This window comes from Homo sapiens, chromosome 3 (assembly GCF_000001405.40).
Source record: "Homo sapiens chromosome 3, GRCh38.p14 Primary Assembly".
NCBI classification, from domain to species: domain Eukaryota; kingdom Metazoa; phylum Chordata; class Mammalia; order Primates; family Hominidae; genus Homo; species Homo sapiens.
In genome coordinates this window covers 31,963,385-31,978,837 of record NC_000003.12, presented here as the reverse complement: position 1 = coordinate 31,978,837, position 15,453 = coordinate 31,963,385, and the positions used below count along the sequence as shown (strand labels likewise).

The 15,453-nt window shown below is 40.1% G+C and overlaps 1 protein-coding gene across 10 annotated transcripts in view; it reads left to right on the top strand.

Moving 5' to 3' along the window:
• The window catches only part of OSBPL10 (oxysterol binding protein like 10), a 416,868-nt gene that overhangs the window by 98,855 nt on the left and 302,560 nt on the right, over nucleotides 1-15,453 (top strand). The window contains exon 1 of one of the 10 annotated variants that reach the window (XM_047447388.1): nucleotides 7,842-7,919. The exons of the other annotated variants lie outside the window; for them this stretch is intronic. The gene's annotated coding sequence lies outside the window, so the exon portion shown is untranslated. Of the gene's footprint in view, nucleotides 1-7,841; nucleotides 7,920-15,453 lie in introns of those variants that run through there. 10 annotated transcript variants of the gene reach the window in all.

Sequence of the window (15,453 nt, the reverse complement as noted above, 5' to 3'; positions counted from 1 at the left end):
AATGCCAATAATAATACCTACGTGATAGCAGGCTACCTAGGTGAAATGTGGTATTAAGTACACTCCTGAGCATGCTTAAGTGATGTCTCATCTTTATTGAGTTTGTTTACTGCAATTTATAGCTGTCTGCCTATGTTTGTTCTTACCACAGTAGACTCACCGTTTTCCAAGTCTACCACTGACTCCATAAGCATCGTCTGTAATTGTTAACATCTCAGTGTCAGGGTTTCTATTTCCCACATTTTGTTCTTTGAACGATGGCTGAGGGTCCATTAGTGGTTTGGAGAAGATTACGATGACTCTGTGCTTGCAAAATTCTCCCTTCTCTAGGGGTCTTATGAAGGGACAGATGGATTAGTGAAAAGGAAGAGAGAAGAGGATAAAAATAGAAACTTTGAAAATGTATTCATTTGTTCAATTATCTATTCACAGACTGTTTTATTGAGCACCTACTATGTGGCAGGAACTGTTCTAGGAGCTGGAGCTACCACCCTTCCCTGGTCCAGGGAAATGCCTTAGTACAAATAGTTAGCCAACTGATTCCTGCTGCCTTTCTTTCTGGGCCTCATAGCATCTTCCTTTGGCAGTTCTTTTCAAAGTGCCCACAGTTAATGACAAATCTATAGCAACCAAGTTCTTGGTTCATCCTCTCAGGCTGCTGTGCAATTGTAGTGCTCTTCACCAGCTCCCAGGACTTAATACCAATCACCCACTAACAGTTTGTACCCTGGTGTCCTCTTGCATGTTCTCAAGTTGCTGTAAAACTTATATTTTAACACTTGGCATCATATTCTGCCTTTATTTGTAGCCTCATCCTCATGCCCTTAGGAAGGCAGTTTGGGCCAGAACACAAAATAAACGACATAAAGAGAGGTCACAGAGAAGAACACTGTATGATGGGAACGTGCTCAACTCAGGAGAGTAAGTTCAGGACATTTGGCTCACACTCACTGGATGAGAATGTGAAATACTTAGAGTATGGGGAAAACATGCATTAAGGGCTTTCTGTCATTCATTATTATAGATATTTAAAGAAAATATTTCAGGCATAATAACATTGTATAGATTTACAGGATGGCACTGAAGAGTAAATACATTGATACAAATGAACAACAATAAAAAATCCAGAAAGTGGCAAGTGCTATGAAGGTTAAAAAAAGGTGATGAGATAAAGCAAGTATTTGCAGGAATAATTTTAAGTGTGAGTCTAGTGTTTTTACTGCTATTCACATTGTCACTTAGAGTACTCTCTTATTACCCATCTTATCACTCATACAGAGTGAACCATGGGGAGAGTAAACCTCGAGAACTTGAGGAGGCAGATGACCTAGCACCTAGTTGGCCAGGATTAGAATTTCAGACTGGGTTCTGGTGGCCCAGAAGGATTTTAGGAAGGGAAGTGACACTTATTAGGTCACTTTGGCTGCTGTGTAGAGATGAGATTTTCAAGGGGCCAAAGCATGAAGCAGGGAGACCAGTTAGGAGCCCATCTGAGTGGTCCAGGAAAGAGATGCTGGCGGCCTGGGCTGGGGGTTGGCAGAGAACTGGAGAGAAGGGATAGATCTGGTGTGGAGAGGATGGAAATCGCTGATGAATTTGATGTGGAGGTGAGAGAGGGGCAAGAATAACTCTTGATTTGTGGGCCTGAGAGGCTGGGAGGTTGAGACGTCCTTTGTGGAGATGAGGATCACAGGAGGGGAATGTGTTTGTGGGGAGGGTGAGGCTTGGCCAAGAGTTCTGTTTGGACTGTGTTCAGTTTGAGGTGCTTACCCCTAGTAAGAAACTGGCTGTATGAACTTTCATTTGCCCTAAGTCAAACTTTACTCTCAAACTAAAATGGAGCTATTTTGGAGTTGCTCATAATATCAAGTATTTGAGGAAATAATTTCTAATTGGATCTAGAAATTGTTATTTAAATATCTAAGGGTTGCCATTGCCATTCACTTTTTCTTATTTGGAGAAAAGAAGACACTGCGAACGTGGAACCAACCTTCAATTCTTTTTTTGGTGATTGGCAGGGTTGTAAGAACTCAATAAAATGCTGAATGACAACAAATCTTGACTAGGATTAAGGAAGACAAGGCTGGGTGCATTGGCTCACATCTGTAATCCCAGCACTTTGGGAGGCCGAGGTGGGAGGATTGCTTGAGCCCAGGAGTTCCAGACCAGCGTGGGAACCATGGTGAAACCCTGTCTCCACAAAATAAAAATATAAAAATTAGCCAGTGGTGGTGGCTTAGGCCTGTAGTCACTGCTGCTCAGGGGTCTGAGTTGGGAGGATTGCTTGAGCACAAGAGGTCAAGGCTGCAGTGAGCTATGATCACACCACTGGACTCCAGCCTGAGCAACAGAGCAAGACTCTGTCTCTAAAGTAGACATTTATTTGGGGAGGAAGAGTAGTGTGAACTTTGGATTCAAATCTTGACACCAACACTTAGCACACATGTGACCGTGGGCTAGCTCTTTAATTGCACTGGGCTTCTGTTTTTCTCTTCTGCTAAATGTGGGAAATGATGTTACTCTTTTCATTAGTTCAATGTGAAGATTAAATGAGATTATTGGTGTATAAGGGACTGAGAATAGTACATAGCAAGATACCAAGAAGTGGTAGCTATTATTAGATCTTCAATTTGTCTGTTTTTAAGTAGGCACTTTCTGGTCCATAAAATTCTTGGTTTTTATTCTGAGTGCTGTGGTTACCCTGGGACCACATTAACATAATTATCATAGAGTTCTTTGGGGAGAAGATGATTACTTCATTTTGAAGGGATCCTTTTAAAACTTGGCACCAAACATTTACAGCTCCCCTTCCCAGCCTCTAAATCCTATCTTCCTTTCCTATTTTATTTCTCTCCATATACCTTGCTATTATCTGACATGCTTTATATTTTACTTTTTTTGGTCTCTCCACACTAGAGTATAAGCTCCCTGAGGACAGATAATTTTGTTTGTCTTTGTTGCTGCTGTTATCTCCAGTGTTGAGAACAGGGTCTGGTATACAGTAAGGGTAGAGTAAGTATTGTCAAATGGATAAAAAAATGAATAAATGTCAGAGAGGGAAACCAGGGCTTAGTTCTATTTGAGCCAGTGTTAGCTATTATTAGTATCAGAAGTCTTGGTTCTGTACCTGCTTGTAACCTTGTCCTTGTGTTGCTGTGTTTATCATCTGTCCTGCTCTCTGCAAACAGTCTTTGGTTCTGGATCAGGGAGTATGACTCTTCCTGTGACGTGCCCACCCTGATTTAGGGCCCACCACAACTCACCCATTGGGGGCCATTAGTGACCAAATATCCAGGGCTTGCTTTTGACTCTATCTGGATTAACAACATACGTTGAGTGTTTAGTGTTTAGCCCCCAGCATTTTGGTGCCACTTATCCCAAATTAAAGCATCACTGGGGTATATATGAATTTTTAAAGCCACCTTGAAGGAAAATAAGTGTTTTTTTGAGTATCCCAATAATTTTAGAGGGAATTGGTGATACCAGGGTTGAAAATCACTGCTCTGGGTTTTGTATTCTTGTCCGCGTGTACATAGGAAATATCTGCATATCTTCCTGTGTAGTCTGCCAGAGTGTTTTGAGGCCGTGTGCTAAAATCCTTTAGGGACACTAACTAGTTTCATTGATGGTAATAATAAAAGGGATGGTTGCCTAGGTTACAAAACACTGTATAATATTGTTTATTCACTTATGGTTCAAAATACGTATTGAGCACCTGCTTCGTATTAACTACTCCCTGCAGAATCTGCCCTCCCCCTCCTTTGAAAGTGTGTGTATATTTGAGGAGATTCACACCAAAATGGTTTTCTTTGGTTGGTGGGATTATGGGTGATTTCCATTATCTTCTCTTGTCTGTTTTCCCAAGGTGAATGTGTGTCTGTTTTGCAGTTTGAAAAAGTTGTTGAGGCAAAGAAAAGCTGCTCATGCCTTTTCACGTCATCTGTCTAACTGAGTTTTGCGAGTAAATTTCAAGTCTAATCTACATTCAGAAAAGTACACAAATCATATACATACACAGTTCAATGAATTTTCTTAAATGGAACACACCCAGATTAAGAAACAGCTGCCAAAACATTCCCTGTCCCCCACAGCCCCTTTCCTCATAGTATCTCCCCGCATACGGTAACTGCTATTCTGACCTCAACACCACTGAGTTGTTTGGTCTCCTTTTGAACTGTGTATTGTGTAATATGTGATCTGTGTGTCTGGCTTCTTTCTCTTAACGTTATGTTTGGGAGGCTTACGCATGTTTCTGTGTATAGTTGTGGTCTGTTTATTTTCATTGCTATTTGGTATTCCGTGGTATGAATATACTGAACACATTTGTCTATTGTAGGTTGGTATTTGAGTTCTTTTCAGTTTTTGACCCTATTCATAGGGTCACAATGCTGTGAACATTCTAGTACCTGTGTTTGGAGAACATAGGTATGCATTTCTGTGGATATACACCTAGGAGTGTTTGCTCATGTCCAGCTTATTAGATACTAGCAGAGAGTTTTCCACAGTGGTTGTATGCATTAATACTTCCACCAAAAGTGTGTAGAGAGAGTTCTGTGTGTACCACATTCTCATCCACACTTGATATTGTCTCTTGTTTTCATGTCATCCAATTTTAATTTGCCTTTCCCTGATGACTACTGAGGCTGAACATGTTTTCACGTATTAATCGGCCATTGGGATGTCATGTTTTGCAAGCTGCTCTTTAAGTCCTCTGCCCATTTATCTGTTGGGTGTCTGCCTTTTTCTTCTTGACTTTTACGAGATGTTTATATATTCTGGGTATGCGCCCTTTGCTGGATGCCTGTATACAGGTGCCTGGGCACTGCATATATAGAGACACGGTGTATTATGCAGGCATTATGTCCTGTGGATATACCACAGTTTGTTTATCCATTACCTGTAGGACAACATTTGGGCTGTTTCCAGTTTTTGACTATTACAGATAAAGCTGCTATTTGTGTGTAAGTCTTTGTGTGGTCACATGCTTTTATTTCTTTTGGGTAAATACCTAGCATTAGAATTGCTCGTGTATCCATCCTATGTAGAAAGTGCTAACCTGTTTTCCAAAGTGGCTGAACCATTTCACACTGCCACCAGCAGTGCATAAGTGAATAGATGGCTCCCCATCCTGGCCATCTTCATGTTGCTACCTGGAGAGCTTTTGGAAAACAGGACTGCCACTTCCTCATGTGCATGGCATTGCTTCTGAGAGGGGCAGTCTAGGGAGAAGCTGTGTAGTCCTTCTTACCTTTCCAGCTTTGTCTCCTTTTGGCCAAATGACCTTGGGCAAGTTATTTAACTCTTTGGGCCTTGGTCTCTCCATCTGTAAAATGATATGAACCTCGCAGTGTTGTGAGGCCACCACAGGCACCAGTCCTGTGCTTGGTGCACAGTAGGTCCTCAGCAGAAGTTTGTGAGTGAGAGTCTTGTATTTTAGATAGACTAGTGACTAGCTTTCTGGAACCTAGGGGTTGCATTGGTGGTCACTTAAGCCCCAGCCTTGGCAAATCTGCAGGTGTCTTAGCCCTGCCTCTCATTACATGAGGACCCAGTTGACTTAAGCCATTTGATTTGCCCAGTGGCTGTCTGCGTTTGGTGTGCTTCCTCAGAGGCTGCTTGTGGACAGTTGTCTGAGGACTCTGGGAAGAAAGAAGCCACATGGATGGGCCTTTGTGTCCTGAAAGAAGGGTTGAAATGATTGTGCCGGAAACGTGGGAGGCTTTTTGCAGTTCTGCCTGGCTCCCACTGATGCGATTTGGGGCCAGGCCAAGACAGAATTAAAAAGAAAACCATCCAGAATTTGAATTTTGATAACCTAGACTGGACTGAATATGGTCACAGCCCAGAAAATGCTTTATTTGTGCCTCATGCAATGATATCAATAATAATGATAAAATTAGGAAACATTATATATGGTCTTTTGTTGCAAGTCTGTTCCTTGAAGGTCAGAGAAGGCATTTGCACCATGAATAATCTTTTCTTTTTGTGTTGTAGTTTTTAGGGGACTATTTATGTTTTTGTGTGGTTTAGTCCCTTTCTATAAATATATTGATGAAAATACAAAGAGTTGAAAGGCAACCAATATCAGTTTTTAGTCACTCTTTTCCAGGATGTTTTAAGTATTTATCTGCACGGCCAGCCTTGTGGCCTGTGCAGGCTGCCATGAGTGGTTGGGTGGGATTGGACGTTTTTTGGAAAGTGGTGGGGTTCAGGTTCTCCTTATGTGTGGGTAGAACTGGGGGCTCTGTTCTGGCCTTGTGTTCAGGGCAATCGAGTAGATTAGGTGACTGATGCAAATGATCCTCACTCAGCCGTCTCTGCAGTGCTCACTCCGTCAGAGCTGTGTGGGCTGCTAACAATGCAATGAAAACCACCGCTGCAGCTGATCTGGGCTTTTTGGTTGTTAAGTAGAGTCTGGGCAGAGTCGGGAAACTTTCTTTTTTCTTTTTGAGACAGAGTCTCGCTGTGTCACCCAGGCTGGAGTGCAGTGGCGTGATCTCCACTCACTGCAACTTCCACCTCCTGGGTTCAAGCGATTCTTCTGCCACAGCTTCCTGAGTAGCTGGAATTACAGGCGTCCGCCACCACACCCAGCTAATTTTTGTATTTTTAGTAGAGACGGGGTTTCATCATGTTGGCCAGGCTGGTCTTGATCTCCTGACCTCAGGTGATCCGCCCGCCTTGGCCTCCCGAAGTGCTGGGATTACAGGCGTGAGCCACTGTGCCCGGCCCAGAGTTGGGAAACTTTCTAAGCCCTGAGTGAGGTGGCAGCACCATCCCCCAAACATACTCCTCTTTGCTTGAAATTATGCCTGGTGGAATTTTTATACCCCAAATATTTTTGAGCGCTTTTTATGTATATGTCAAATGCCATGTGAGAAGCAGGAGACAGGAGGAAGAAGCACAGGCCCTACCTTAAGGAGCTGACAGTCCATAACAGAGGGGAGCAGACTTTTCTGTAAAGGGCCAGATAGTAAGTAGGTTAGACTTTGTGGGCTATACAGTCTTCATGGCAACTACCGAGTGCTCCTTTGTAAATAAGTGGATGTATCTGTGTTCTATAAAACTTTATTTATAAAAGCTGGCGGTGGGCTGATATAGCCTGTGAGATGTAGTTTGATCATCCTTTCCCTATAATTACACTTAGATTTCTTATGCAAGTAGTTGAGGCAGCCCAGTGTTGGGGCTAAGAGTGTAGTTTCTGAGGTCCAGTAGCCTGTTTTTAAATCCCAGCTCTACTCTTTGCCTTGGACAAGCTATTTGACCTTTATGTCGCAGTTTCTTTATCTGTAAAATGGGGATAATATGGTGTCTGTGTCATAGAGTTTTGGGGATCAACTGAGAAGCTGTGTATAAAGGGTTTAGGACAATGGGTGGCACATAGAAAGCACTCATTAGGGCCAGGTGCAGTGGCTCATGCCTGTAATCCCAGCACACTGGGAGGCCGAGGTGGGTGGATCACCTGAGGTCAGGAGTTCGAGACCAGCCTGGCCAACATGGCGAAACCCTGTCTCTACTAAAAATGCAACAATTAGCGGGCATGGTGGCATGCGCCCGTAATCCCAGCTACTTGGGAGGCTGAGACAGGAGAATCGCTTGAACCCAGAAGGCAGAGGTTGCAGTGAGCCAAGATTGTGCCACTGCACTCCAGCCTGGGCGACAGAGCAAGACTCCAGCTCAAAAAAAAAAAAAAAAAAAGAAAAAAGAAAAAAAAACAGAAAAAAAAAACCAACTCATTAGATGCAGCAGTACAGGTGGTGAGTGCTACTGCAGAGGAAGCACCTGGGAGTGGGAGCAGCTGCTCCACTTGGGAATAAAGGGCAGAAGTCGCAGGTGGAGGAAGACCTTCTAGAATGTTGAAGAGAAGAGTTCATCATGCAGACAAAGGCTTCAGCAGGGCGTCCCTGGTAGAAGGCTCTGTGAGTACAAATGTTTGGAGGCATGAAAGGAGATAGGTTTAGTATGGCTGGAATGCAGGTTGTATGTGGAGTGTGGCCAGAGATGAGACTGTAAAAGACAGACTAGGCTAAAAAAAGGCTACTTTCTGAAGAAGCTCTTAAGCCGCTGAGACCACAGATCACAAAATGTCTGTGTTACCACAAGGGGAACGCTGGCCCTGTGTATTTGTGGGTCCACGAAGCATCAGACACTTTACGTATATTATCCAATTTAATCTTTAAAATGAGATGGAGGTGGGTGTTGCAAAGCTATCCATTCTCCCCTTTTCCTGTAGCTATAGACCCCAGTTTTTAGCTGGATGCATGGCTGTCAAAAATAAAACTGTATTTTCATCCCTCCCCCTCCTTGCAACTAGGATGGTGATGAGATTATAATCTGGATGTAAGCGCAGAGTTGTCACATAGTAATTTCCTGGAACCTTCTTTGTACTCTTCTTACCTTTTCCTTTCCTGTTGGAATATAGACATGCTGGCCAAAACTAGAATATGGAAATGATGGCTGGAATTTCAGCAGCCGTCTTGAACCTCGAGGTGACTGGGATGAAGGCCATGGAGACAGAAGAAATCTGGCCTCAGAGGACTTTGTGGATCAAAGCCACCTCATAAATCCTAGCTGCAACCTCTGGAATTTTCCTTGTGGGGAGGGGGAGGAATATGCTTCTTTTGCAAGCCCCGAGTCTCAGTCAGATCTAACCCTAATTGATGCAGGTAGAATCGCAGTTTTACAGGTGAAGATGTTGAGGCCTAGAGTGACATAGACTGCACAGTTAATAAATTGTGGAGCACGGAATTTTCGGACTTCAAAGTGTGTTTTCTTTTTCTCTGGAAAGAACTTGGTCTCCTACCCCTTCATTTTATAGATGAGATTACTGAGGGCTTTGGCTTAGGGTAAACTAGGACCAGCTAATTCCACTGCAAGATAATCATTTCCTGCCCCGCGCCCCCCACCCCCGCATACTCTTTCTCTCCATGGCCTTTCCAAAGAAGAGGCCTCGTGTTTTTTTTTTTTCTTTTTTTGTTTTTTTGAGACGGAGTCTCGCTTTGTCGCCCAGGCTGGAGTGCAGTGGTGCGATCTCGGCTCAATGCAACCTCCGCCTCCCAGGTTCAAGCTATTCTCCTGCCTTAGCCTCCGGAGTAGCTGGGATTACAGGTGCCTGCCACCATGCCTGACTAATTTTTTGTATTTTTAGTAGAGACGAGGTTTCCACCATGTTGGCCAGGTTGACCTGGCCTCAAGTAATCAAGTAATCTGGCCTCAAGTAATCCGACCTCATTACGTGAACACCTGACCTCAACTAATCCACCCACCTCAGCCTCCCAAAGTAGTGCTAGGATTACAGGCGTGAGCCACCGTGCCCAGCGAAGCCCCGTGTTTTAACGAGTGATGTTGTAGCCCTCCTTTGGGCAGAATATCTTTCTGTGCATGGGTTGTGTTCGGTGGTTTTTCCTCTTCCAAAACCCTAACTGTTCCAGAGCTGTAAGTGTAGAGCTTTCTCTTTAGACAACCTTGCCAACTCTTGCCACCTCTGGGCTGGTCCTTAGGAATGACTTTCCTTGCCTGGCCTGTCCTTTCTCTGCCTGAGTGTTTAGGGGATGGATGAGGGGTTCCTTGGCCCTGTGATTATTTGTAAGTGCTGACAGATGTCTTGATTTATGCAGAGGCCTCCCAATTCATTAACCTCAGAGTGTGGACTTTGGCTGAAATAGGATCATGCGTTTGCGGAATGTACTTTGCTTTTGGGATTCTTGTGTGTCTGAGTTCCACCCTATTACTAATACCTTAACAATGGGCTTCTTGATCCCCTTGGCTAACCACACAGCACAGAACTTTTTTGTGTGTGTACTGCAGCAGACTCATTTAGTGGCCTCGTCTCTAAAAAGTTTAACAGAACAAAAACCCATTTGTGCTAGTACGTGCCGTTGAGAGAGCATTTGTCGTACATTCATTATATAGCATTTCATATTGATTCCTCTCTTTGCTCCAGCAAATTTCTTTGTGGTAATTTTTATTAGCTTGGCTAATGAGTGCCTTTTTCTTTTTATGAGAAGTCTGCAGCTGATACCTTGGCCCAAAGTACATCATAACACTATTATAGTTGTTTAGTTAATTTGGAATTTCCTGTAACTGGAATTTTTATGTCAAAGATCAGTTTACATGATTGCTTCGAAGTCAGCTAAAATTCAGGAAGATGGTCTTAAAAGCCAGAATGGCATGTTTTCTTTCTCATGTTGATTAATAGGATAGGCCATTTTTATGGGTTGAACGTAAAGGTATGCTTCAGAAAATCTTTGTATCAAAGAAAGTAGACCAAACTTGTATCTGGGAAATCAAGTTTAAGTCTGGGTAAAGTGTTTTTTTTTTTTTTTTCCCCTTCAAAATAGAAGCAAAGCATGACCTAACTTGGATGAAACTAAATTGCAGTGATTCATGTCATGGAATGGTCTGAATTTCTGTTTATCTGAAGGCTTGCTTCCTTTTCCTTTCCAGCATTGTAGTGTTATTGGTATTTTTGATATTTTTGTTTTGTTTCCTTTTTTGTTTTTGCTTCCTTTCTTAGTTTAAGACTTTGAATTCTTTTGTGTAACAACTGCATGTAACTTGTGATCCGATTTTTTTTTCTATAAATGACATGATTGACAACATTTGTATAAAGTCTACAGATTTGATAATAGTACTGTATCCATGTCAAGTATTTATTTTAACATTTACGCACTGAAGTATTTAAGGGTAAAGGGGCATTATGTTGGCTATTTACAGAAAGAAATACACACAGAAAGAAAAAATAATAAAGCAACTGTGGTAAAATGTTAATAGTTCTTTAATAGTAAATACTTATTTGTATTATTTGTGTAACTTCTCTGTAAATTTGAAATTATATTGAAAGATTAACAAAAATTCACTTGACCTATTCAAAACAAAAACCTTGGGGTGTGCACTATATACTTAATCACCGAATAGAGCATATATCTAATAAACATTATCCAATTTGCCTTAATTCTAGTCTTCTAATGTGGCCACTGAAGCATCCATTCTTGAAGCTTCATCCAGACTGGTTTAGAAGATGCCCAGGTGTGATAAAAATGATTGTTAGGCAATTCCAGAGATTAACTACAATGAAATTGCCTGAGTGTGTGAGTGCCTGTGAGCAAATAGGTAAAGCCAGCATATTTGCAGCTTATGAAAGGACCATTAAACCAAAGGTTTGGGAGATTTGTTTTTATCCTTTCACTGTTTTTATCCTTTCCCTATTAAGTTGTTTCATCGTAATATAAATGTCAACTGTCTCTTTCATTTATAAATGAGATGAAGTGGGAAACATTGCTTGTTTCCTCATTACTCCAACATAGGAAAATTATAATGAATTACCATTTATAAGCAACTTTTTTTTTTCATTTTTTTGAGACAGGGTGTTGCTCTGTTGTCCACGCTGGAGTGCAGTGGTGCAATCACAGCTCATTGTAGCCTCAACCTCCTGGGTTCAAGCGATCCTCCTGCCTCAGCCTCCCAAGTGGCTGGGGCTACTACAGGCCAGGGCAGGAGGATCGCTTGAGGCCAAGAGTTTGAGACCAGCCCTGGCAATGGCAAGCTCCCTGCAACGGTGAGACTCTACAAAAAATTACAAACAGAAAACAATCAAACAAAAAACCTGGAGTGGCATGAGCTCTCTGCATTCCTGTCCAGAGCTGGAAAGATGTCTCAGTGAGGGAATGGGATTTTTTTTTTCCTGACCTTGGTTTTGATGTGCAAGATTGATTTGGTTTGTCTTGCATTATCTCATGGAACATGTTATTTATGCTCAGAAGTAACAGCTTAAATCTTTGTTATTTGTGTAGTAAAATGTGTTTTAACCATTTATTAAAAAAAAAAAATCCCCTCAGAGATTGTCCATGAACTTGCTCATACTCACATGAAAGTTCCAGTTCCACATCCTTGTCAGCGCTTGGTATTATGATATTTTTAATTTTAGGCATTTTAGTAAATGTGTGTCATGGTTTTCATTTGTAATTGGCTGATAGCTAATGACACTGAACAGCTTTTCATGTGCTTATTTCCCATCCAGATATCGTGTTTAGTAAGGTTAGCTTTAGCTAAGTCTTTTGCCCATTTTTAAATTGGATTTCAATCAGGTTGTTTGTTTTCTTATGGTTGTGAGAGTTTTCTTCTGAGAGTGGTTCATGCTTTTTAAAGAAGTGATCCATTTTTTATAAGTTGTTGAATTTAGGTATGTAGAGTTGCTTCTAGTATTCCCTTATTATCTTTTTAATGTTCATGAGGCCCCTTTTTCTTCTCCCTGATATTGGTAACTTGTTCGTGTTTCTTTTTGTTTTTATCAGTTTTGCTAGAGGTCAGTCAATTTATTGATCTTTTCTAAGAATCAACTTTTTGTTTCATTTATGATCTTTATTCTTTCTCTGTTTTCAATTTAATTGATTTCTATTCTAATATTTTTTATTTTTTCACTTTATATATAGTTTTTTAGTTTCCTAAGGCAGATGCTTAAATTATTAAATTATCATTTCTTTTCTAATGTAAACATTTAGTGCTATAAATTTCCCTCTAACCATTGCTTTAGTTGCACTCACACATTTTGATATGTTGTATTTCTATTTTAGTTCAGCTTAACCATTTTGTAATTTATCTTGAGACTTTATTTTCGTCCCATGAATTATTTAGAAGTGTGAATACACACACACACACACACACACACACACACACACACACACATAATTTTGTTGTTGTTGTTGTAGTAGAGATGGGGTCTTGCTATGTTGTTCAGGCTGGTCTCAAACTCCTGACCTCAAGCAATCCTCCCACCTTGGCCTCCCAAAGTGCTGGGATTACAGGCATGAGCGACTGAGCCTGGCCTATATATATATATATTATATTTTATATAATATATATTATCTATTTTATATAATATATAATATATATTATCTATTTTATATAATATATATTATATATTATCTATTTTATATAATATATAATATATGTTATCTATTTTATATAATATGTATTATATATTATCTTTTTATATAATATATATTATATATTTATATAATATATATTATATAAATAGATAATATATCTTATCTATTTATATAATATATATTATCTTTTAATATAATATATATTATATAAATAGATAATATATATTATATTATATATTTTATATAATATATTATATATTTTATATAATATATATTATATAAAATATATAATATATAATATATAATTTATATAATATATTATATAATATATAATTTATATAATATATTATATAATATATAATTTATATAATATATTATATAATATATAATTTATATAATATATAATATATAATTTATATAATATAATAGTTTATATATTATCTATTTTATATATTATATAAAATAGATAATATATAATATATATTATATAAATTATATATTATATAATATATATTATATATTATCTATTATATATAATATATATTTTATATTATATATTATACATAATATATATATTTTTTGAGATGGAGTCTTGCTCTGTCACCCAGGCTGGAGTGCAGTAGTGCGATCTCAGCTCCCTGCAAGCTCTGCCTCCTGGGTTCACGCCATTCTCCTGCCTTAGCTTCCCGAGTAGCTGGGACTACAGGTGCCCACCACCACGCCCGGCTAATTTTTTTGTATTTTTAGTAGAGACGGGATTTCACCATGTTAGCCAGGATGGTCACAATCTCCTGACCTCGTGATCCGCCCACCTTGGCCTCCCAAAGTGCGCCCCGGCCGCCTGGCCTACATTTTTTAAGGGTTGTTTTATGACATTGAATATGTTCTATCTTGATGATTGTTCCATGTATACTTGAAAGAATATGTATTTGGTTGTCATTGGATGAATTGTGCTATAAATGTCAGTTTGATTCAGTTGATAATGTTCAGTTCTATATCATGACTGACTTTAAAAATTTTTATTTGATAATTTTGGAGCTGTGGTCTGGAAAGAAAGTACACCCTCTGCTCATAAGCCATTCATATTCAGATTTTCCCCTGAATTTGTGTGTTCTTTTACAGACTAACTTACTTTTACATTTAATTTTCCTGAGTATTGCTACATGAAGTCAGTTAAATGATGAGCCATGAGAACTTGATGTTTGTTCATTGTTTGAAAGCACACAAGTATTTCAGGCCAGGGTGTTGTTTATTTCATTTTATGAGGCACACCTATCATTATTTTAGGTAAATACCTAAAAATCAGCTTCAGGACTACTTGGAGATGCTTTTTCAGACAATTTAATTGACTCCAACTCAGACTTAATGTAAAGATGTTATTTACCTCGTCAAGTGAAGATTGATCTAAGGAAATACATATTGGTTCTAATGAGTGGATGGATGCTGATGAAAGAGGTTCTGAGACCACTGCTTACCCATTAAGAGTGCTGGGTAGGGCAGGTGCCATGGCTGACGCCTGTAATCCCATCACTATGGGAGGCCGAGGCGGGCAGATCACTTGAGGCCAGGAGTTTGAGACTAATCTGGGCAACCTGGCTAAACCCTGTCTGTACCATAAGTACAAAAATTAGCCAGGTGTGGTGGTGCACACCTGTAGTCCCAGTTAGTCGGGAGCCTGAGGCAGGAGAATTGCTTGAACTTGGGAGGCAGAGGTTGCAGTGAGTCTAGATTAAGGCACTGTACTCCAGCCTAGGTGACAGTGTGAGACCCTGTATCAAACAATGAACAACAAAAAAAGAGTGCTGGGTAGATGGAATCATTGGAGAAACATCTGACAGCTATATTGAAGGAATCATTAGACAACCCAGGTTCATCCACCTCCATCTCAATAGGGAGATTTACCTGTGTCTCCCAAGACATTCCCTCTTGGTTTGGATGTGCTTTGGAAATATTGCTTTGAATGGAAGATGCTGAGCAGGAGGGCTACTGAGATTAGAACAATTTCTAATTGGGGCCAGGTGTGGTCATGCATGTCATTAGTCCCAGCTACTCGGGAGGCTGAGGTGGGAGGATGGCTTGAGCCCAGGACCTTGAGATTAAAAAAAAAAAATCTAATTGGGAGGGTGTGGAAGGTGATGCTGCTGAATTTTGTTACAAGAAAGCATTTTTATCCAGAGATTTCATGACTATGGAACAAAATTAGATAGGACTAAGTCATATCTTGGAGAAATCAGGTTAAATGTGATTTGTTCCAGTTAGGGAGCTTCATTAAGTAATAAGGGAAGGAATTTTAATGAGAATTTTCTTCTGCCTGGAGTCCTCTACGAAATGTCCTATGGATAGCAAGGGAGCAAGCCAGGCGCCTCTTTGGGTGGGTGTGTCTCTACAGGTTGTCTCTTTAGTCCATTTGGTGTTTGAAGAGTGAGCCTTCAAATCATTGTTTTAGAATCTGTGCATCACTCCTGCTGTCATCATTTGAAGAACTGGCAGCATTTAAGTATTAAGTAATAGTATTTAATCAGTGTTAAACTGTGAGAACTTGATCATCATATGGTTCTATAAGAAA